The sequence below is a fragment of the Homo sapiens genome, chromosome 2 (genome assembly GCF_000001405.40).
Source record: "Homo sapiens chromosome 2, GRCh38.p14 Primary Assembly".
NCBI lineage: Eukaryota > Metazoa > Chordata > Mammalia > Primates > Hominidae > Homo > Homo sapiens.
In genome coordinates this window covers 68860567-68884213 of record NC_000002.12, presented here as the reverse complement: position 1 = coordinate 68884213, position 23647 = coordinate 68860567, and the positions used below count along the sequence as shown (strand labels likewise).

Below are 23647 nucleotides of genomic sequence, written 5' to 3'. Positions count from 1 at the left end.
TTGGGGTTTTGGTTTCCCAATTTATATAAAGGATGATTTTCGCCTGCCTCACCTATTCTTTTAATTACTGTGAGGGTCAGATGGCATGAACATAAACTCTTCAAAGAGTAGTGTACTAACCAAGATTTCTTTCCATATGTGTGTGTGTGTGTGTATAATATATACATATATATATTAAACATATAAAACATGTAACATATATTTTAAGTTAACAACCTGAAGCACTCCAAGCATATATTTAGAAAGGGAGGGAGGGAAGGTGGAAGGAAGAACATAAGGGAAGAAAGGAGAAAGAAAAGGAGAAAGGAAAGAAGAATAGGAGGAAGAGAAGACATAGCAAATAAACTATTCATAATCCCATATTATCAAGGTTGTAAATTCCCATACTCTTTCTCCTTTACTTTGTCTCTGTTGAGTATGGTCATTTCATTCACATCCACATATCCGTGAGAGGACAGGCTGCAGGATATCTCAGATTTCTCCTGCTTTTGCAAGCTGCAGTTTTTTGTTAACCTTATTTTATACTGTTTTCCTTTGGCAAACACAGGTGCAAAAGGAATGGGGATTTAGTTGGAGTTCAGGATTCGACCTTCTCTTCTAGAGTGTATTCTTTTTCTTTAGAAAATATAATAAGCTTTATTTATAATATTTAATAATGATATTTAAATGATGTTTACAATTTCTATATAAACTCTTGGATACTCAGCATGTTTCAAATATACAACCTTAATTGATACTCAGCAATCTCTGTTAGTTTCTAGCTGTTATATTCCATAGTGGCATTGGTATTGTATGCTTCTACCTCATTGTGGTTAAAATATACTTTTATGAACTTGCCTGAGAATCCAACAACCAACATAATCACATAATGAGAAAATGTGTTCTGAGTTCCAAACAGCTGGCTAACAAATGAGTACCCAGAAGTCAAAAGTTGTATGGCATTTTCTAATAGCTACATTAGCCGACATAAATCAATTGACATATTCTAATGAATGGAATTCTTTCATTAAATAAGAATTAGCTATGTATTCATTTAATTGTTTAAACAACTTTTTCTAAGCAGTTTTCAAGAGCACCTGAATCACTTACAGATTAGTACATGATAAAAGACACAGAAGATACTAACTTTTAAAACAAGATGCCATTTAAAAGGGAGAATAAACAATTTAAAAGCCTGGAGCTGAATAGATGTGCACATTCATAATAACAATTATTAGAACTAAGGCTTTTATGCCAACCACTGTTATCCCCACTTCACAGATGACAAAAATACAGTTTTTGAGGGGTTAAGAAAAACCACCTAATCAGAGCAATGTTCAAGTTTTCTGAACACAGGGTAACACTCTGAAGAGTAGAAACCCTAGGTTAGATTGTGTCTGATTCTGGCAGTACATTTTAAATGATATTTTTGGGTTATGAAGGTGAAAAGATAAATATTCAAAGTTTAAAAAAATTTTCCTGAGAATAAAAAGAATAGAGATTTCTCTACAGATTCCATTCACAGCTGAAGTGGGAACACCACTTTGCTGCCTGGATAATAAGTATTGAAGTTGCTGTAAAGGAGACCCCCCAAAGATTGACAGCTTGTTGAGAACCCTGTGGATGAAGTTACCTTCCTTGGAATATGGAAACAAGTGGACTGTGTGTGCACAGTAAGAGAGTTTACGGGCTTGGTCGATGATGGGACAGGGTTGACGGAGGGTCCTAGAGAGGAACAGATGGAAGAAGTCTGAGCAGTACCGGTTAAAAAAGAGGAGAGATAATGTTAAAACATTTGGCCAAGGAACCTGAGACATTCATTAATCTAGAAAAACTCTTGAGTGTGTGACACTGGAGCCTGGCATCTTCTACAGTAAAAATTCAGCGACAAAAGAACTCTTTTCTACAGAGAAATTGATCTCTCGTTGGCTCTGTACCAAGAAAAGAGTAGCAAGTAGCAAAGGAAATAAAGCAGGGGCCAATCTTTACATTTTCCCTGCAAGAACCACTGTCTCTCCAAGGCCCCTCTCTCTGGTCCTTGGTAGCCTCCTTCCCAGTTGTCCTCCCCCTCTTCTCACCATTTAACTCACTGTGAGGACCTTGTCATCTGGGAACTTGACCGCTTCCGGTGCTACAGACCATCTATTTTCTTCATTCGGAAGCTCAGCTTATGGACGAGCAGCTCACAGCACTTGCCATCATCCCTTTGATCCTTCAGGCACAGTTTATTTTGCTACCGAGCTTTACAATATTTCTTCAGTGTTGCTGAAATTCAAAGTAGGATTGACTTCAATAATTATGGAAATGACTCTAGTCCTACTTGTATAGACTGGTTAAGATTCTTAAGGAGTTGCTTGAAATTTATGCAATATTTTATTGAATTTTAAAGGGGAAATGATATGTTTTAGTACTATTTATAAATATTGGGATTTATACATGTCTTGAATTGTATCACTAAGTAAAAATTTTGGTGCTAATAATAAAGTATAAATATATATGGTATATTGTTACTATTAAAACTCTATACCTAATTTCTCTCTTGAAATTTAGTTTCAGCATGTTTATCTCCTTCACATATTGACCTAGCTGTTCCATTTTCAGTTCAAACATGCTAAGCCAAAAATTTCCTCCAACCACCTCTTAGACCACCACTTTTCAAATTTTTATAATTTAAATGAAAATAAATTAAAAGCTATGTTTTTACACATTTCTAATCCATTTACTCACTTTCTCCTTAGCAGGCTGGCCTCTGGAGTCAGACTTCCTGGGTTAAAATCCCAGATCTACTATTTAGTAAGTGTTCTACAATGTGCATATTATTTTATTTCTTTGAGCCTCGGTTTCCTTAGGTGTGAAATACTGTTTGACTTATTGAATTGTGAGAATTAAAATTGCATTTTTAGGCACATAGCAATTTACGTTTGCTGCTATCATTACTATAATTATCATCCTTATTATTTTTACCTCTACCCCATTCTTGCACTTTCTTTTTTTTTTTTTTTTTTTTTGCTTTGTTTTGTTTTGTTGCAAGGTCTCACTGTCTTCTTGGCTGGAGTGCAGTGGCGCAGTCATGGCTCACAGCAGCCTCAACCTCCTGTGCCCAAGCAATCCTCCCACCTCAGCCTCTCAAGTAGCTGGGACCTCAGGTTCCTGGCTAATTTGTGTGTGTGTGTGTGTGTGCCTGTGTGTGTTGGGGGGGTGTGGGAGCGGAGACAGTCTCACTATGTTGTCCAGGCTGGGCACTTGTTTTTTTAACCAAATGACTTTGCCTTTTAATTCACAGAGGAAATTGAGAATATTAAGAATGATGTTTCTCAACTTCTTCCTCTACCACTTCATCTATCTTTTCCTCTCTCCTACAATTACAGACAAAGGTGCTCCCCTTCTTCTGCCTTATCCTTTTCCCCCAACTGTATTCTCTCTGCCATGTCTTCACTCTATCAAATTAGTCCCTCTTGGGGAAGTAGAGTGTGTTTAACTGAAAGACTGGGCTTAGGGATTGAACAGAGCTGTTGTCAATCTTGGATCTTCCTCTTCCTGGCTCTCTGACCAGCACCCTCATTTGTAAAACAGAGATGATGATAGCACCTATGTCATAGGGTTTAGGGGAGAATTAGCTGAAATAATGACCATAAACAATGGGGCTCAGTGCCTGGCACAGAGTAGGAGTTGAATAAATGGTAGCTTTTTATTGTTATTTTGGTTAGTATTGCACACACTTCCTTGCTAGCCTAGTGCCACTGTGCATTACACAGGGTAGGTGCTTAATAAACATTTGTTCTAGTGGTGGTGAAGGATGAATTATTAGCCATGATAAGTTGCCCCTGGCTGGGGCTCAAGATTCCTGGCTCCTCTCAGAGCTGTCTGACATCACCACCACAAGTTCCAGAGAACAACATTTATGTAGAAGGGGGACACTCCAGAAAAAGTCATTTTATTTCTCTGAGGATTTTGCCCCAAACCTAATGTGGTCTCCTGATGAGGAAATAGACTTTTGCTTTGGCTGTAAGCAGGTTCAAGGTGCAGAACCCAAGGACAGCAGCTGTTTACTTATTTCTTTTCTCTAGGATAATACTCCAATCCATTTAATAAGAAAGACAATTTTAAAGTAAGCACAGTAGAAAAAAAGAAACAGTACAAATAAGTTCCTCTTGAGGGCTTTGGGGCAGGACAATTGGGATGGGGGAGGGATGAGCCTTCTTAGCTGAAGGATGCCCTGACCGTCTTTGTTTCATCAGCCACTTGGAGGACCAGGATTCCCATGGGTCGAGCCCTGGCCAGCATTTCCCACTGTCCCAAAGAGAAATAGCCAGAGAGAGAACCTTGATATTTTCAAAGGGAGGACGGTGAGTGGGTGTGGAGTGGGGCAGAAGATGGATGGCAAGAGGCAAGAGATGCAAGTTCCTTTAGGGATGAGAATGCACCTGCAGTTTTGGGGAAGATTGTGACATTTAGGAAGGTTAATATCCTGTATTTAAATGTAGATTCCCTTGGTTATATTTAAGCTTAATTCTCTGTGGAGTACCTTGTAAAACTGAAAGCAGATGAATATGCCATAGTGCCATTCGCAAATGTGCACTTTTGTTTATTGATTCATTGAGCATGTGCTATGTCTCAAGCCTTAAGCTAGTTTGCAGGGATACATGAATGGAACACAGCCCCCGCCCTTAAGTTGTCCATGGTATTTGAGAAGACGGACATTCTAACCTTATCTCAGGGAAGCTGATAAAACTCAGAAGTATGTCAACCATGCAACAGAGAATGACCATTCTTGTGCCTGGAATAACAGCTTGGGGATGCAGATTTTGGAATTCTTTTTATCACAGATTTGGTCATTTGACTTTATTACAAAGTTCACTTGGGTGTTTTATCTTAGCTAGGCTGATGATTGCTGTGTGGCAAGAATGGTACAATAGAATCAAGGTAACTGCAAAAATCTTCTGGAAAAAAAAGCCCTACATTTTCTGAGAATTCAGCTACCCAAGTTCCATTTAACTGTCTGGTTGGCTATTTAAAGAATTCTGTTATTGTCCTTCACTAGAATCCCTTTTAGGTGCTGTTATCAATCCCAGCTGCACAAAATCCCCAGGGATAATTAACCAATGAGTCCTAAACACATAGCCCTGACAGATAATTCACTAATTTTGGAGGGCATGTGTAGGACCACATAAACGGCTTTGGTTCCCTGGACTTCCACACAATGTAAATTGCACCAGAACAAGCTTAATTGAAGGCACTTATCTAAAATTCACTTTGTCATTTTCCAGCCATATATTCACAATGCTTTGTAAGGCTTGCTTAAGCAAAATTGCAGTCTTATGACATCATATAATTAGAATGGGACATGACTCTTGTAATCTGACCTTTTCCCATTGAAGGGAAGAAAGAAAAAGAGATTTTCTTGGGGTATAACTTAGCCTTTTAAGGCAAAAGTGACCATCTCTTTCTTTTTAGGAACCAGAAGGCTGTTTCCGCAAACAGATTTACCAACATTACCTAAAGCTGAACGTGGCCCATGGCTTCACGTTTTTTTCCCTTTCTTCTATGCGTGGCATTTAAGGAAGATGGGTCACATGTAGACACTGATTTCACAAAGAAATGTATGATGCCCAGCAACAGGGCTGTCATGACACACTTAAGCTATCACTCTGATGCAGAAGATCTTCTCCAAGAAACCCTTTTGGCATGCAACTTTCTGAACTTGTCAAGTGAAAGTCAGCTGAAAACCGGCTGCCCATTGATAAGACAGGTCCCCAGTTATTTCTCCCTCCTTCCTTCCCTCTTCCTGCAGCGTGTCAAAGGCCAGCCTGGCTGAACTCTGATAGTCCTTTCATATTTGAAAGTTGATAATTCTAAGTTATAGGGTTTGACTTAGTGGGTCATGAAACTGGGGAGGAAGGGGTTACTCCTGTAACCTTCCACATGGCTTACAGTCTGACTGTGACGCAGACATTTGCAGACTGATTTGGCTGAGATGAATCTTTTTTATAAAACCACATTTCTTTTCCTTTCAGGTATATTCATCATCATGTAGTAGTTACTTTCCAAGTTCAATACCATGAGTGTGGTTTGCCTTGACCTTCCAGCTCTCCAGACACTGTCCTGGGGGTGATCATTTGAAGAGGGGATGTGTGTTTTTTCTTTGAAATGTATGTACGCTGAGTTCTACTGACAAGGTAATCTTATTTTCTTAATGAAAAAAAAGAAGAAGAAAAAAGAAAAGGGACTCGTGTTTTGCCTATTCTTCTGGGGAAGACGGGACAGAACACTTGAAATTGGATCTGTCCTAGGAAATCTCAAAACTTTAGAGGGTTCGTTCAGCTTTCAGGGAAACCACTGTTAATAGCTAGCACAGAGAGGCCCATTAATACACCCAAATTATGTGATAATCGTAATATGGCCAAGGATTATGCCATGCCCTATTCACCTTCTCAGAGTCCAACCCAACTGACTATAAGTCTAACAAAGGCTGTTTAGAGAACTAGGAAAGAGCGGTGGCAAGAGTGTGAATTTGGATCCCCAAGTTTCCCCAGCAGTGAGAATTGAGGCAACTCATTTAATCCTTTGTACTTCAGTGTCATCTGTAAAATGGAGAAACAAATACCTTCTTACACAGTGATGCTCAGACAGTGAGTGTGAAAGGCAGACACATGGTGCAATTCAGTGTAGGGCCCTGGGGTTATTCCTCTGTCCTAGTCCACATGAACATGCTGGAAAAGCCAGCTTTCCAAGGAACATGGCTTTTGATGGCTGTTCATGGGAGTGAAATCAAACAATGTGAAATCTGTTAATTTCTTCACTGAAATAATTGCACTTATTCGCATCTCTTACTTTTTCCTCTAGGCTGCTTTCCAGATCTGAGTGTCTTGTGAGGTGTGAATGGCAGCTTATCTTGCTGAGAGTGTGGAATAAACCCTTAGCAGCCTCTGGTGTTAAAGGGCTTGACTTATCTCAGTGTGGTGGCAGAGTGCCCTGGCTGGGTTTACTTCTTTGTCTTTGCACTCTGTGTTGTTGCTTAGCACAGCTGTCAAACACCTCTAGTGATTCTAAGAGCACACTGACAGACAGTCGATTCCACTCCTGGGATATCCTAGGTCAGTGGGCATTTTCATTTTTAGCATTTACTTCTTAAGAAGCACATGCAAAAAAGATTTTGTTAGCTTTAAGAACTATGAATATATTACTTAAAATACAGATAATATAATCATAATCTTGTCTGTAACATGTAAAAGTTGCCTCACTCTGTGCTTTAAATGTGTTTCTGAAAGGAGGGTAAGTAAAATGATCATGATTTAAAATGTAATTAGAAGCTGGGTGTGGTGGCTCACGCCTGTAATCCCACCTTTGGGAAGCTGAGGTGGGCGGATCACTTGAGGTCAGGAGTTTGAGACCAGCCTAGCCAACATGGTGAAACCCCGTCTCTAACAAAAAGTACAAAACTTAGCAGGGCGTGGTGGCACATGACTGTAGTCCCAGCTACTCGGGAGGCTGAGATGGGAGGATTGTCTGAACCCAGGAGGTGGAGGTTGCAGTGAGCTCAGATAGCGCCGCTGCACTCCAGCCTGGGTGACAGACTGAGACCCTGTCTCAAAAAAAAAAAAAAAATGTAATTGAGGAACTCACTATTTCAAGAAACTCTTGAAGTTTTTTCTGAAGCTAATAATATTATTATTTTTGCTACTTTGGAATTTGATAGATAATATCAGTGTACCTACTTTTTCTAATGTGAGCTGTCCTTTTCTCCCTTTTTTTTTTTTTTTTTTTTGTGGAAATGGGGATAGGACAATCATTTATTTCCTTATTAACCGCTAGGGTTGGAGATAGTATATGAGGTACTTATTGTCAGGCAAAAGAAACACTTCTCCTAGGATTTCTCCAAGACAAAGTTTCAAAGTTGTTCTTTCATATGAAGTCCCAAGTCTATCTGGATTTGATTTTTGCATAAAGTACAAAGTAGTCAATTGATATTTCTCATAAATGATCCCTGCATTTTTCATGAAATCATCTTTTTCCTACTGATATGTGATGTCAGGTATTCTATGTCAATTTTTGGATTTATGTGAGTCCTTTTCCAACTTCTTTTTTATTCTATTGATCTATTCCTACACCAACGCCACACTATCTTGATCATTACTGATTTTTAATAGATTTTAATATTGGTAAGAAAATTCTCCTATTTAATTCTTCTCTAAGAGTACCCTTACTTAATCTTAATCCTTTGCTCCTTCATATAGCTTTTAGAATCATCTTTTCAAGTTCTATGAAAAGTCCTGTTAGGATTGTGATTGACATTTTATTGAATTTATATATTGATTTGGGGATTTTTTAACATCTTTATTATATTGTCTTCTTATCCATTGACTTGGAATATTGTTACATTCATGCAAGTCTCCTTTCCTGTCCTTCAATAAATTTTTTTGCTCTTGGACACCATGCTTTACATGGGCTGTCATTTAATATAGGGTGTGGAAGCCAACACAATACTAAAACAGTGTTTCCCAGCCCAAACTATACCTTTTCTCAAGGTGATAATCTACATGCTCTGTTGCATCTCTCAGGAATGAGTGGCAGAGAAGAGCAGAAGAGAGAGCCTCCAAGACTCAACTACAGTCCCCAAAGTCAATCAGCATAAGCATTGGCAAGGATGTGGAACAACACGAACTCTTGCTGGGAGACACAGGATTGGGAAAACCATTTTCGAAAACAATTTGGCATTATGTAAAATTGTTGGAGTCTTTTCTGACTACCAACCAGCAATTCTATTCTGATATTTACTCTTACTAAATAAAGTCTAGACTTGCACTGTCCAACATGGTGGTTATTAGCCAGCACAGGCTGGAGTGCAGTGGCGTGATCTTGGCTTACTGCAACCTCTGCCTCCTGGGTTCAAGTGATTCTCCTGTCTCAGCCTCCTGAGTAGCTGGGATTACAGGTACATGCCACCATGGCTGGCTAATTTTTGTATTTTAGTAGAGACGGGGTTTCACCATGTTGGTCAGGCTGGTCTCGAGCTCCTGACCTCGTGATCCGTCCACCTCGGTCTCCCAAAGTGCTGAGATTACAGGCGTGACCCACCGCACCTGGCCGAGAATCTCTTAAATAGAAAATAACAGTAAGATTATTCACTGTAGTACTGTAAATAATGAGAAAAAAAGAAACAAAGTCTCTATCAACAGTATAACGTACAAAGAAATTTTTATGTATTTATAAAGCTGACAACAATTCAGTGAAAATCAATGAACTCAGCTACAGGCATCAACAAGTGTGCATTGGAAAAATCCTGTTGAGTGCAAAAAAGTAAGTCTTGGAAGAAAACATATAACATGATTCAATTCATATATAAGTTAAATGGGCAAAACCCATCGTATAGCTTGTTAAATTTTTTTTTTATTATCACACCTGGTCCTGAGAAGGTAGCAGGAGTAATGTAATGCTTCTGAAGTGGGATCCAAGGTAGAGAGGGTTCCAAGAACCTAGAGTCATGTTCAAAGACCTCCTGACTTCATTGGCCTCTTTTCATTCAGGATAATTTTATTGGTTGCATTTATTCAGGGGCTGTGCACTACTCACAGGAAACAGCAGAATTCATCAGGATGCTGTCCAGTGGCTCTGACCATGTCTGGATCCCAGATCCCTTTGAGAATCCAATGAAGTTCAATGTTAGATTCTTTAAGTTTGTACAGTTATGGAACTAGTTTTAAAAACTGGCCCAGAACTTTGCAAATCAGAGGTTCTGGAGCATTTTGCAGTGGGGTGGAAAAGCATAATGTGTAATTAATATTTTGCTTTCCACATGTATGGGTTCTTTTAAAACATCTAAACATACCTTTTACATCTTTGGCTCACGAAACTGCCCATCCACTCTGAATGAACCGTAACACATTCCAAATGAGAAGGATACAAAATAATGAGATAAGTGCAAAAGAATAGAATGAATTGCATCCAGAAAGATCAAAATAGGGGTAGGAATGTAAAGACATTTGGACCTTTTAGGGTCAGATGAGAGTCATCAGAAAAAGCTTCTAGAGAAAAATATGGGGATAAAGAGACTCTGCAGCTAAGATGTGAGGTGTCCCAGGCCTGGAAGAGGGAGAGAGCTTATGTCCCCTTCCTCCAAGCATGAAGCCAACCTCCTTCCTTGTCCACCCAGCACAGGTATGGGTTTAAGAACCTTCACCAAGCATGCGTCTCAAGACACGCTGATATCTTGAAATGTCTGAAATATGGCTATAGTCATTTTCCTACTGTATCTTTTAATCATCCCCAAATATCAACATGGATCCAAATATTTGACCCTGTAGTTTTTCTAACACCAAGTACAGGGAAGCCAGTGAAGTCTCAGTTAATGTTTTTATGCTCAAGAATGTAAAGAACTAGAACTCCGCAATGTGGGATGCATGTCTCTCCCCGTGACCTTTGAAACCAGTGTGCTCAGGGGTTGTAAGTACCACCACTTACACTGCTGTCCTGTGGCAGTTACACGCACATGCCTGCATTCAGAGTTTTGGAGTGTGCGTTGACATCTGTGTGTGTGTGAAGATAAATGGGTGCCTGTTTGGATGCAGGACATGATACAGGGCATTGCTGGTATGCTGTCAGAAACCTCATGTGAAAACGAACCACCCGAAGGACGGCTTCTGGCCCTTGGAGTCACTCACTCACTTGTGGGACTGTTCAGGGTATAATCTGTCTCCAGTCTACAATTGTCGTTTTACTATGGGAATAGAAAGTTTGAATCAAAATTGAACATTGAATCAAAATCAAAACTATTAAACAAATAGACAATTAACAACTACTAAACAAAATATGGTTCTTTCTATGGTAATTTAAAAAATGGCTGTAACATTGTACATTTTAGGAGGAAAAAGAATCAAAAGATGACTAGAAACCTAAGTGAGCCTGGAGAAAAAGTTAAGTGGAGACATTGTAGCTAAACGATGAGCATGAATATAGGAAAATTTAACCTAGAAACTGAGAAAGGATTCCAGTGAACCAAATATCTTGACACAGCCCTTGGAACACAGCACCAGGACGCGTGAGTAATGGTGTGCACGTCAGAAAGATACCAGAACTACCACCTCAGTGGGAAAAACATCCCCTGGGCTTGTCCGCAGGGCCTCTCTGGCTGCACCCCGGCTGCTACTGTCACTAGTTAGAATGGAAAATGTGATGAACCTGATTTGTCTTTCCTAATCTGGACACACAATCGATTCTACCATTTTTATTTTCAGGACCAAGGCATTTGGCGTTTTTTGTGTGCCTAGTAATGTTGTTTGCCGAGTGTATTAGTCAGGGTTCTCTAGAGGGACAGAACTAATAGGGGATGGAGATATATTTCTGAGTTTATTAAGTATTAACTCACACGATCACAAGGTCCCACAATAGGCTGTCTGCAAGCTAAGGATCGAGGAGAGCCAGTCCAAGTTCCCCGACTGAAGAACTTGGAGTCCCATATTCAAGGACAGGAAGCATCCAGCATGGGAGAAAGATAGGCTGAAAGTCTAGGCCAGTCTCGTCTTTTCACGTTTTTCTGCCTGCTTTATATTCTAACCGTGCTGGCGGCTGATTAGATGGTGCCTAGCTAGATTAAGGGTGGGTCTACCTTTCCCAGCCCACTGATTCAAATGTTAATCTCCTTTGGCAACACCCTCACAGACACACCCGGGATCAATACTTTGCATCCTGCAATCCAATCAAGTTGACAGTAAGTATTAACCATCACACCAAGCTTTTGCTGGAGCCTCTTGATGACAATTTTGATTGAGTCAGAAGGATGAATTTCGCAGAGATGTTGGTTATATTAACAACTCATTGCACAGATGGAGGACCTGAGGTCCACATCCAGCTACAAATTTCTGCCTGCCTCCTGCCTCCAGGCTGATCTGGGGACGTGTTGGCCTCTCAGCATTATTGCCCATGCCCTAGTCTGGTAGAAGAGTGGTTTAAAAGTGTGACTGTTTTATTCTTCATAAGAATCAGGCTGCCTTGGTTGAAATTGTGGCCCCATCACTTTGCAACTTTGTGGCCTCTGGCAAGCTATGGCACTTCACTGACCCATATATGTGATGGAGATAATGATACGGTTATTACAGGAGCACACTTGATGATAGGTGTAAAGCACTCAGTACAATGCCTGTTTGTAGGAAGCATCTAATAAATTCTAGTTGCCAGTATAACTAAGCACTTGCCCTATTTTTCAAATGCTATTTTAGCCAGATCAAATAGGTAGGAAAAAGCCTGTCAATCATGAAGTTTATACTTTCCTGTTTCTAAAAAGGTACACTTCTAAAAATTTATATAATTCATTTATAGCTATTAACTTAAACTTGGAAAGTTTGGATATTTGGTCTGTCTTCACAAGTGTTTATCTGAGCCCTACCTCTCAAATTAACATGTATCACCATTGATGTGCATTATGTTGATTCTTATACCTATTATATGCATGTGTGAAACTAAGCCCCATAAAAACAGAATTTAGGCATTCCTGCTGAAAGGAAGTGAATTGAAGGGAAGAGAAGCAGAGCCTTTGCAAAGAGAAAATTGTCCTATCTCTCAACCAGTGTCAGAATGTGGAAATGTTTACAAAATGCTCATTAAAAGAAATAGGGATTGCAAGATAGAAACAAATTCTGGTGCACAAGTTTACACTAGGGAGATAAGAAAGGCTAGGCCCCTATAGGGGATTTTGTTATCCAATTACTGCAACCTGACTTTTAGGGGGAGAGGAAGAGTGGTAGGGGGAGGGAGAGAGAGAGGAAGAGTTTCCAAACTTGTCTCCAGTGACAGGAGACATTTACGTTCCACAAGATAAAACTGCCACTTAGAGCCCAGGGAAGCTAAACCTTCCTGGCTTGGCCTAGGAGCTCGAGCGGAGTCATGGGCTCTCTGGTCCTGACACTGTGCGCTCTTTTCTGCCTGGCAGCTTACTTGGTTTCTGGCAGCCCCATCATGAACCTAGAGCAGTCTCCTCTGGAAGAAGATATGTCCCTCTTTGGTGATGTTTTCTCAGAGCAAGACGGTGTCGACTTTAACACACTGCTCCAGAGCATGAAGGATGAGTTTCTTAAGACACTAAACCTCTCTGACATCCCCACGCAGGATTCAGCCAAGGTGGACCCACCAGAGTACATGTTGGAACTCTACAACAAATTTGCAACAGATCGGACCTCCATGCCCTCTGCCAACATCATTAGGAGTTTCAAGAATGAAGGTAAGTTTTTGCTGATGAAATTTTGCTAGGATTTTTTTCAAGACACAATAAGTAAATTTACAATGCATGGGAATGATATAGGTAAGGGTAAATACATCTATATAAGGATGTTAAATACATATGGATACACAAAAACAAGGCACATTTTGTTCTATACCAATTATATAGTCATTTCAGGAACCTCGAAAAATACTTACAAACATCTTTTAATCCAAAGCCACAAAACATCTATCAATTTGACATCATAATTGGGTCCTTTTAAAAAATGTTAATTTGAACACCAAGTAATACAAAGAATTAATGTTGGTCTACTGCCGTACCTTTGTCATTTTCCAAATAGGCCTTGATTGCCATATGGGCTTTTAATTAACTAAAAAATTTCTCAACTTCTACTTAGAATAAAAAGGGTAAAAACAGTCAAAAAACATCAAATTGTGATTTGTGTTTTGTTCAAACTTTTGATAAGTTTTTATTTTGTGACCTTATTTAAGAAATGTTCAAACAGGATGGAAATATATTTTAAAGATTCTTCCTAAGGCTGTGTTGTTTGATGTGTCATGTACATCCTTAAAGCACTGTTTACAGTTTCCAGGAAGTGTAGATGGCCCATTAATCATCCAGCTCATCATTTCCGTCTTTATAAAGAGCAACGTACAAGCTTTGAATTATTGGTGGGAAAAGTGTGTTTTCTTCTCTTAGGTCTTTAAATTTGGTAACTAAATCTAATGAGCTAGCAAGTTAATGTTTTTGTTTGTTTGTTTGTTTGTTTGTTTTTTGGTTAATATGGTCCTAGTAGGAAAAAAAACCCCTGATATCTAGATATCTATAGTAGAAGCTGAAGGTCCAAAGGAACTAATTTAATTTTTGCCAGTTATGCTTTTATAGTCACTAACCAGGTATAAAAGAAGCTTCCCGTTAATATTGGCCAGATGTTCTTGAAAGAAGAAAGGTAATAGTGAAGAAATAGCTCAGGATTTGGGATTTTGAGAGCTAGTTGGCTTAGTGGTTGTGAATAATTAGCTGATGCCTCAGAGCCTCAATTTCCTCATCTATAAAGTGGGAGTAATAATACCTACATAACATAGTTGAGTGACTCAAAGGAGGTTACAGATAAGAAAGCACTCCATTTACTATGAAGTGCTGATCAAACTTTAGTGACTACTAATGAGTTACTTAATATTCTAGGTACTGGAATAAATGTTGAGTAGGTATTCCTTAGTCCCTAAGATATTATCTCCCTTTAAAATTGAGTTGGCTGCCAAAATTTATAATTCATAATATCTTTCTCATGGAAATGGCAAGTTGAGATTACAGATTGCTTTTGGAGGTGAGTCTGAATTGAAAATGAACAACTTCCTCCTGTAAGAACCCTCCCTAATACTTCTCAGCACTGAGCCCTAAGTGTCTGGCTCAGGGTGTGGGTGAGAAAATGTTGTTTGCATCCCCTGGAAAACTAGAAACGTTTTCCGTTCTCACTTCTCTCATAGAGTATCTGGATGATCCAGGTCAGGATGTGGAGTTTACTGTGCTTATTATTACTGGAGATTATTGAGGGCAGGAACACATCTCTTAGTAAACAACCCAGCCGCCAGCACCTCTGCCAGTCTGCAGGAAATGTGCAGCCTGAGGACAGAAATCGCACAGGACATGCCCTGTTGGCTACTATTGCCTCTCTTCTGACTCTTTGGATCTGCTTAGTGCAGCTCCCTAGGAGAGAAAGACCAAAAAAACTCCAAACCTACCCCATCTTGGGAAAAAAAAGTGCCACCTCCAAGGTGAAAAAAGCGTGCTCCTTTATCACCTTGTCATTTGGGGAAATCAGTTATCTGCATCAAGGCTTGATTTATTCTGGTGCAAAACGAGTAGAGAATCAATACCTGCATTATGGGGTCATTGTGAGAACCAGAGAAGATCATGCTTGCAAAGCACCTGGCATGAGAAATTTGTCAACAAACATTCGTTCTCTTGCCCTGAAATGTAACTCTTCCATCTATTGCTTACTGCATTTGCACATGCACAGAACTTCACAGTGAACTTACTTTTTCAAAACAGCTTTATTGAGGTATATTTGACTTATAAAAATATGACATATAAAAATATTGATGTATAAAAGTATAATCGCACATATTTAAAGTGTATAATTTGAAAGGTGTTGACATATGTAACATTCATTGAAACCATCACCACAATCAAGATCATGAATATATCCATTAAAACCAAAAGCTTCCTTGTATACTTTGTAATGCCTTCCTCCCACTACAGTGAGCTCTTATTTTATACTTTTCTCCTGGGTAGAGCAACCAGCCTACTCTTCCATGTTCCCTGTCCATGGGGAGTCAAGTCTCTTCCCTTCTTAGAGTGGAAGAATAACTCCCAAGCCCAACCCAAGAGCTTGATGATGGATTAAGGTCATATGTCACGCCCATAAATCAATTTAGTCTGGTGCCTAGAATCATCAACTAATCAATATTTTTAAAGCACTACCTCTGTTTAAGCCATCATAGTAGGATAGAGACATAGAAGGGAGTTTTGAGCCATTCAAACCAGGAGGATGGCAATCTAGTTGGGAAAATCCATTCATAAAAAGATGGCTGAAATATAAGGACGTAAATGACAAGGATCAAAGGAGATATAAAGTGATCAAATGATTTCAGAGGGGAGAGGAGGGAACTTTCAGATGAGAAGTAAGGGAGGCTTTTATAGGAGATGTCAGAGCTGGATAGGTGGAGGTGAGGTGAAAGGGCTTTCCAAGGGTCAGAAGAACATGTGAAAAGGTGAAAATTGCAGGGAAAAAAAGAGTGTTTTGACAGGTGGTAAAGATATCAATGTAGTTAAAACAGAAGGGTTTACAAATCCATTCAATTGTTCACAAATATTATTGAGTAATCACAATGTTCCATGCACTGTGGAGGACGTATGTAAGCTATGGCTGATCAGGAGGTTAAGACCCAGATATAGCTGGTCTTGAGAGCCATGCCAGGGAGTTTAAATTTATTCTGTAGGTCAGCATTTCCCACTAGCAGTGTGTAAGATTAATTTAGGTGGTACCCAAAGAAAGCTATTAATCATGTGAAATTATTGTATATTTTTCTTAGTATGGATTTTTAGCAAACACACATAAATATCACCTCAAATCTCTCCTTTAATGAATTATGTTGCTTAGGAACAGTCTAAAATAGATAATAAGTATAAAATAATTAGATCAAATTAAAGAAAAATATTAAAAGATTATAATCTGAAACAGGGACTCACCGAGATCATGAACTAAGTATAAACTTGGGGAAATGCTGCCAATGATGACAGAGAACCCCCAGTTGGTGGTCCTTAGCATCTTCGGTGCCATGGAGTCCTTTGATAATCTGATGGCAAATGCCTTCAGGGCTTCCTTGTAGACTCATTACCTGAGGCAAGTGTGCAGGAGCTTTGGGCTCACTGTGAAATATTCAGATAGGAAGTCAACATGATCGTATTTGGAAGTATGCTTCTAAGACTAAAGGACTTTTACAGAGTTGATTCATAAACATTATTGAGTGAGTTATACATGTCACGCCCCATGCCAGGTGCTAGGGGTACAAGACTAAGGCAACCAATCTAGTCCCAGGATTCATTTTCTCCCATTCCTCTTTATAGAGAACCATATAACCAGCAGTCAATTGCTGAGACCCTCTTGGTTTATGGCTGTCTTATTGGCCTTGTCAGGCTTTGTTGCCTAGAACAGAAGTCAGCAAGTTTCTACTGTAAAGGGCCAGACAGATAATAACTATTTTAAGCTTTGCAGGCTATATGTTCTTTGTTGTATCTATTTAACTCTGCCATTATAGTGCAAAAGTAGCCACAGACAATACAAAAACAATGGATGAGGCTGTGTTCCAATAAAACTTTATTTCCAAAAGCAGGTAGCAGGCCCATATTGGCCCATAGGCTATAGTTTACCAACCTCTGATCTAAATGGAGGTCTTTTAGGAAGACCAGTGTCCAGCCAACTGTGCGGGGATCTCCACCCACTACAAACACAAATATTAAAAAACCATGAAGTCCTCATCCCCGAAAAGCTTCAAGAAAGGAACAATCACCACATGTCCCATTTGGTGGCGTTTTGTTTGTTAGGAAATTTGGGGACTTGCCCACACAATCTCCAAGGTCCCTCCCAGTTCTGTAATTCTGTGGCTGATGAGCTATTCAAGCAAGGTTGGCTGAGTTTTATGCCATCCATTAGACCCCCATTTTCCATTTTAGTCTTGGCAGCTGAACTCTTTTGGGCATTCTACCACTGACCTTTTGGGATTTCCTGTGTCACAGAATGCTGACATTGTGTTTGTTCTCATTGATTTTCTCCCTTCATTCTTTCTGCATTAAGCTTTGTGCATGGGAAGGCCTTCTTATTACATAAATAAGCATCTGTTTTTCCCTGAGACCCACTGCAAACCTGATTTTTGCAAATTTCTTTTTTCAGATCTGTTTTCCCAGCCGGTCAGTTTTAATGGGCTCCGAAAATACCCCCTCCTCTTCAATGTGTCCATTCCTCACCATGAAGAGGTCATCATGGCTGAACTTAGGCTATACACACTGGTGCAAAGGGATCGTATGATATACGATGGAGTAGACCGGAAAATTACCATTTTTGAAGTGCTGGAGAGCAAAGGGGATAATGAGGGAGAAAGAAACATGCTGGTCTTGGTGTCTGGGGAGATATATGGAACCAACAGTGAGTGGGAGACTTTTGATGTCACAGATGCCATCAGACGTTGGCAAAAGTCAGGCTCATCCACCCACCAGCTGGAGGTCCACATTGAGAGCAAACACGATGAAGCTGAGGATGCCAGCAGTGGACGGCTAGAAATAGATACCAGTGCCCAGAATAAGCATAACCCTTTGCTCATCGTGTTTTCTGATGACCAAAGCAGTGACAAGGAGAGGAAGGAGGAACTGAATGAAATGATTTCCCATGAGCAACTTCCAGAGCTGGACAACTTGGGCCTGGATAGCTTTTCCAGTGGACCTGGGGAAGAGGCTTTGTTGCAGATGAGATCAAACATCATCTATGACTCCACTGCCCGAATCAGAAGGAACGCCAAAGGAAACTACTGTAAGAGGACCCCGCTCTACATCGACTTCAAGGAGATTGGGTGGGACTCCTGGATCATCGCTCCGCCTGGATACGAAGCCTATGAATGCCGTGGTGTTTGTAACTACCCCCTGGCAGAGCATCTCACACCCACAAAGCATGCAATTATCCAGGCCTTGGTCCACCTCAAGAATTCCCAGAAAGCTTCCAAAGCCTGCTGTGTGCCCACAAAGCTAGAGCCCATCTCCATCCTCTATTTAGACAAAGGCGTCGTCACCTACAAGTTTAAATACGAAGGCATGGCCGTCTCCGAATGTGGCTGTAGATAGAAGAAGAGTCCTATGGCTTATTTAATAACTGTAAATGTGTATATTTGGTGTTCCTATTTAATGAGATTATTTAATAAGGGTGTACAGTAATAGAGGCTTGCTGCCTTCAGGAAATGGACAGGTCAGTTTGTTGTAGGAAATGCATATTTTCCTCTCCAGTTAAGTCCCTTTCAATCTGTTTTCTCTTTGGACTTGCCATTTCCTGGCAATGCCACCTCCCTGTTGATTTGAAAACAACCCCTAGGCAAAATACAGTGTCAAAAGACACACACTTGTGTATGTATATTTGTACATACATGAACTTACAAAAATCTTTTGGTTCTATGCAGGCAGGTTATACTCATCTACATGCATGACTCACTCAAATGTATGCATATTAAAGGCCAATGGTATGTTCTCTGTTACCTCTTCTCTGAGTAGGATTTAAGTCAAGATAATTGACATCAGGGTTTTAATCATCCTAGGAAGTATTACCCTTCCTAAATACTCTGGAAATGTAAGTGTAGCTTTTGTCAGTTGAGTTTCTGTAGTTGCTCAGAGAGGAGGGGCCTGGCAAAGGATGCTTGAAGGGAAGGGTTAATTGATACAGAAACCAAATGGACTTAAGAGGTCTTAGAGGTACAACAGGAAAAAATGAACCCATGGAGGACCAATGTGCTCCAGAGGGCAACTCCTGGTCAAGGCAGGAAAACAGAAGAAACCAGCATGAAATCTGTTCCTGAGACAATAGGAAAGCAAGGCCATGAGTACTGGCCATTGCTGCTGCAGAGAGTAGAGGGGTTGGGAGGGTACTTGAAGGGGAGAAAGGGAGAAAGGGAAGAGGATATTGATGTTATCCTCAGAGGCTATCCTCAGATGTGTCTGTAAAACCAAAAGTGGTTCTGTTTAAAGAATTAAATCTTTTGGACAAAATAGAAGTATCAAAGACTAAGAGGAGGAAAATCAGAAGGGGTCTGTCTGTTGGAAGAAAGGATGTTAATATCTTTCTTCACCTGTTAACACTGTTCCCTTGTCTCAGCACCCCTGCTTTCCTCTGCTCCATCTTCTTCCTTCCCTCTTTCTTCTTGGCCCTAGTGCCTCTCACCTTCCTCCCATCCCTGTGTCCCTGCTCTTCCCTGGCCTTCATGATGCATGCTGTGAACTGGAAAGGGACACCTAAGTGCCTTTGCTCTCAGGGTGAAAGGAGTTAGTGTTCTAATTTCTAAATCTTCCCGTGATATTTAATTTGATTTTATTTTAATAATATCCTTTATCAAATGTTTTGTTCATGAAGAATACTTAGATATAAGAGAAAAGAAAACCAGAATAAGTAAGTATAAGAAAAAGAAAACCAGAGTCCAAATGAATGGATTTAAATAAACGAATTTATGAATAGACACACAAGCAAATGACTCAAAAGCCAAGCCTGAATTTTGAAATCATGATTGTTTCATGGTAGAAACCCAGTAACTTTCCCATCTTCTCATCTTACCATCTTCCCATTTTGCAACTGGCCAGGACTGAAAGTGGTGAGGAAGTGTTCTGCACAGGAAGGGTCCGGTGGGTTTTCCTGGCAGGTGGCAGCCTCCAGTCTTAACCCCTAACCATTTCCCTCTACCTGGCAAGCATATTCTGGGCTTTGTGCAGGAGGAACCAGAGCAGAGCAGAGCAGTTTCCAAACTGTTCCAGCATCTCCAGGCAGGGAACATGGATGGTTCCTGTTAGAACCAGGAATGTGGTTTCCAGTACGTCATCCCCCATTCACCCCTACTCATCTTAAGGAATGCTTCCTTAAGAAGTCTGACACTTTTTTCTTTTTTTTACCCTGGAAAACAATCAGTCCCCTTTTACAAATCTCTTAAGGTTATAAACTCAAACTGCACTAGACAATAGAGGCAAGGAAAACTATTTTGAAGAAGGCCCAATTTGAACCTCAGCTCGCTAGATCTGTTGTCTGCTGGGTGAATCCTGGGGAATTCATTGCTCATGGAAGAGTGGTGTTTTGACCGTCAGTGGGTATACAGTGATTGATGCTTTGAGAAAGCCATGCAACTCAGAATCACTATTTGTGGAACAGCCTCCATATAACATGATGTGTGTATGTGTGTGTGATGTATAGCTGGCTTTGAATAACCACGCTTAATACCCTCAGTGGAACGTGGTGCATCCTTCATACTCCATGGTACACAATGTATACTCACATACTCCAAGGTACTTCTTATCCTTTCTAAAGGACACTGTAATACATACACAGTAAAACCTCAGCTGACCAGGATAGTCCTGGTTAGATAAAAATTAAGCAAATTTTCTTTATGTCTAATACATATGACAGTGGTGTGCTGGTAAAACCCTTACAACCAGCAATCCAGGGGGAGAAAAAGCCCTGATTTGTGGATTTCAATGCTGCAAACGCTCCTACATGGTCTATCTTGAGCTGCCAAGGTGATGTCAACTGGCTTGCAAAACTTCTAAAACCTAAGTCAGCTCTTGGGAGCTGTGCACTGGTGCTGGCACACCGCTGACATTTAGTATCCCACTGACATTAGCACACCGCTGACATTAGCACCCTGATACTAGAATGTTAAGGATGTGCCAGCCCTGCTTTCCACTGTGTGCGCTGCTGGCTCCGGGCTTCTGGAGAAATCTTGTCTCGAGCACTTATAGTCACTCTTCTGTTAAAGAGATATGAAAATATAGGCTGTTGGCGATCAGGCTGCATAGCCCAGTTGTTTCTTTCTGCCCATCCAGATGTAAACCTGCATTTCTATGATTTTCTGCTTCCCTGTGGAAAGGGAGTGCAGAGAGCAACATATTGTTATTCAAATGTTGCTAGTTGTATTTTTTTGGCTTTTTGTCAGAAAGTGAAAAGACACAGCCCGTAGAGGAGTTCTCCCAGCTCCCACCGGAACCCCGGCAGCACACCGGTGTCACTTTCAACTCCTGCATTGACAGGAAGCCAGAATATTGTCAGATCCTTAAAAAGGTAGAATCTTACTAATGTTTCTCTGGTCATAGACCTTCTTCTGGGTCCCATGCCAGTTTTTTTCCCCCTTTTATTGCAGAATTATCATCACCGAAGTTGATATAGCTAAACAACTCTTGAGGAGAATTATAGCAGAGGGACTTGGGCAGCCCACAGCCAAAATATTCATGTAAGAGTTTCTAGGCTTCCCACTATTTATTGATTGATATATTTATTTTTGTAAAATATTGTAGAATACCAAATATTTTATTTTTATGTCTGTGATTCCCTTTTGGATAGAGAGTCTTCTGGGCTTCAGAGTATGGCTCACATATAATATATGGCCTGTATTTCCATCTCTCTCTTTTTGCATCAGAATATTCTATTGGTTTAAGGAATCTTGCCATAGCTTGCCATAATTTTGTATATTTGTGTCTTGCAGGCATGCTGTGCCTACAAGCATGCTTTGTAGTATATTTTCTGATTTGTAAATAGTACAGTTTTAACTGAAGTGTAGATGTTCCAGGAAATATTTAACCAATACATTGTCATGCAGTTTCATAAAGTGATGTTGTCAGTTTATCATGAGAAGCAAATATTGTCAGGCTGTGAGAGAATGTGATTGCTACTCAGTAAACGGAGATGCTATTTAAATGAATCTTTTCATCCCCCAAATCTGGTACTTCCCCTCTGAATTCACCTGTTGCCGTCACTGACCCAGAAATTCAGAGATGTGATTGGTCAAATTCATTTGTAATTGGACCAATTACTTTGTAAATGTCAAAAATGTTAGCTTAGTGATTTCCAAAAGAGTCAGCCCCAAAGTGCCGAATTCTTTCCTGATGTGTAAATTTTGGTCCGGGGAATTAATGACAAAAACCTTTTTTTTTTAAGAACTGTTACTAAATGTTTCAGTATTTGTTATGATTTATATTCTTCAAGTAAAAGATATTTTCATATAAGAGAATTTTATGTATTCTTCTTACTTGATTCATCAACAGATTATGAAGCCTAGCAGTGTTCTGGCAAAACCTTTTTAACTTGCCTAGAACACAGAAGGGATGTTGCCCTTTTTAAGGTTGTAGATCTTTTCAGAGTCACTGTGGGTCATTCTCAACCCTTTGCAGTTCTGCAAGCTCACATATGGTGCAAGAGGAAATGCTGGTATGACTCTGTGCATTTTCTTGCCCCCAAACAGGAACAGTTGATTTCCTACATTAAATGGAAGGTAGATGTGACTATGGAAGAGAAGTACACAGGGGTGTTTCTGCATGTGAAATATTTGTCATAAGTTAAAAACCCATCATGGAATAACTGTTTGTTGTGATCAGCATGTTTTTATCACACATGGGCACTGGTTTTGTGAGCACCTGGCTTGATAGTGGTGGGGCGGCCAATGTGCCAGCGCCCGCCTACTGAGCATTCATGGACATTGGAAATCAGCGAACACCACAGACACACCGAATCAGCTGATGCACGGTCATGTTCTGGGGTAAAACCTGTTCATTATCCATGTCCACATTTGTATAGTTATCACTAGACTAAAATGAAGATGGAAATAAATATTTTACCCTGTGTTCATGAACCAAATGTGTACCTTCAGAGTCTTTTTAAGTAAAATAAAAAAATTATTTTGGTGATAATTATTTGCAGCTTATTTTTCCTTGAGGTAAGGTATTTAATTTTGCACACTCCCCACTTTTTCATGTTTCTACTTGATAACATATCCCGATGGAATAAAACTAATTGCTATATTAATAAAGAATGGTCTGAAGAAACCATAAGTTGTTTTTGGCTTGTAACTGACCTCAGTAGGGAGTGGGATTTTGTAGCTCCATGGTTCTCCCACTTTATATGACTTTGTGTAATTCCCATTAATGCCACAGGCATTCACAGAAAATACAATTGGCTCCCTTTTGTCAGTAGCTGGGAAATATTTCTTCTTTGAATACCAAAGGAGGCAGTTTAGAGGTAACAGTCCTGGCCAACAGACAGACCTTGCTGCTTTTTCACGAAGGAAATTCATTCTTATGGCAGAATGTGGAATTTGAAGGGCATAGGGACAGCCCCAGGTAGAATAAAATCTCTTCCATCAGAAAATCATCCTGCATCACTTTTTTTGA

At 40.0% G+C, this 23647-nt stretch overlaps 1 protein-coding gene and 1 long non-coding RNA gene across 3 annotated transcripts, besides 2 other annotated features; both read left to right on the top strand.

Annotated features, from left to right (window-relative positions):
* Nucleotides 1-2184: 2184 nt before the first annotated feature.
* On the top strand, nucleotides 2185-8673 carry LOC105374792 (uncharacterized). Of its 2 annotated transcripts, none has more exons than XR_940227.3 (3): nucleotides 2185-2256; nucleotides 2721-2772; nucleotides 8538-8673. It is a non-coding gene; the product is annotated as an uncharacterized LOC105374792 (long non-coding RNA). The 2 variants fall into 2 exon arrangements; XR_940228.3 differs by lacking the exon at nucleotides 8538-8673 and adding an exon at nucleotides 5994-6155.
* Nucleotides 2731-8106: an enhancer, noted in NCBI's record as "VISTA enhancer hs2511". NCBI's record gives its function as "enhancer in: heart[10/10]" and the evidence as "EXISTENCE:transgenic organism evidence [ECO:0001131][PMID:17130149]".
* BMP10 (bone morphogenetic protein 10) lies at nucleotides 12817-23305 on the top strand. Its single transcript, NM_014482.3, has 2 exons — nucleotides 12817-13189; nucleotides 17643-23305. Exons 1-2 carry the CDS (start codon nucleotides 12856-12858, stop codon nucleotides 18581-18583), a joined length of 1275 nt encoding a protein of 424 aa, NP_055297.1. The 5' UTR covers nucleotides 12817-12855; the 3' UTR covers nucleotides 18584-23305.
* Nucleotides 12841-13001: a silencer, noted in NCBI's record as "fragment chr2:69098345-69098505 (GRCh37/hg19 assembly coordinates)". NCBI's record gives its function as "represses an EF-1alpha promoter that drives an FKBP-Casp9 reporter gene in an ReSE screen in phorbol 12-myristate 13-acetate-treated (for megakaryocytic differentiation) K562 erythroleukemia cells {active_cell/tissue: K562(+PMA)}" and the evidence as "EXISTENCE:reporter gene assay evidence [ECO:0000049][PMID:32094911]".
* Nucleotides 23306-23647: the final 342 nt, after the last annotated feature.

Coding starts and splice junctions, on each gene's coding strand:
- BMP10 (NM_014482.3), top strand. CDS start 12,856: ATGGGCTCTCTGGTCCTGACACTGTGCGCTCTTTTCTGCCTGGCAGCT. Junction 13,190..17,642: donor TAGGAGTTTCAAGAATGAAG/GTAAGTTTTTGC, acceptor TTCTTTTTTCAG/ATCTGTTTTCCCAGCCGGTC.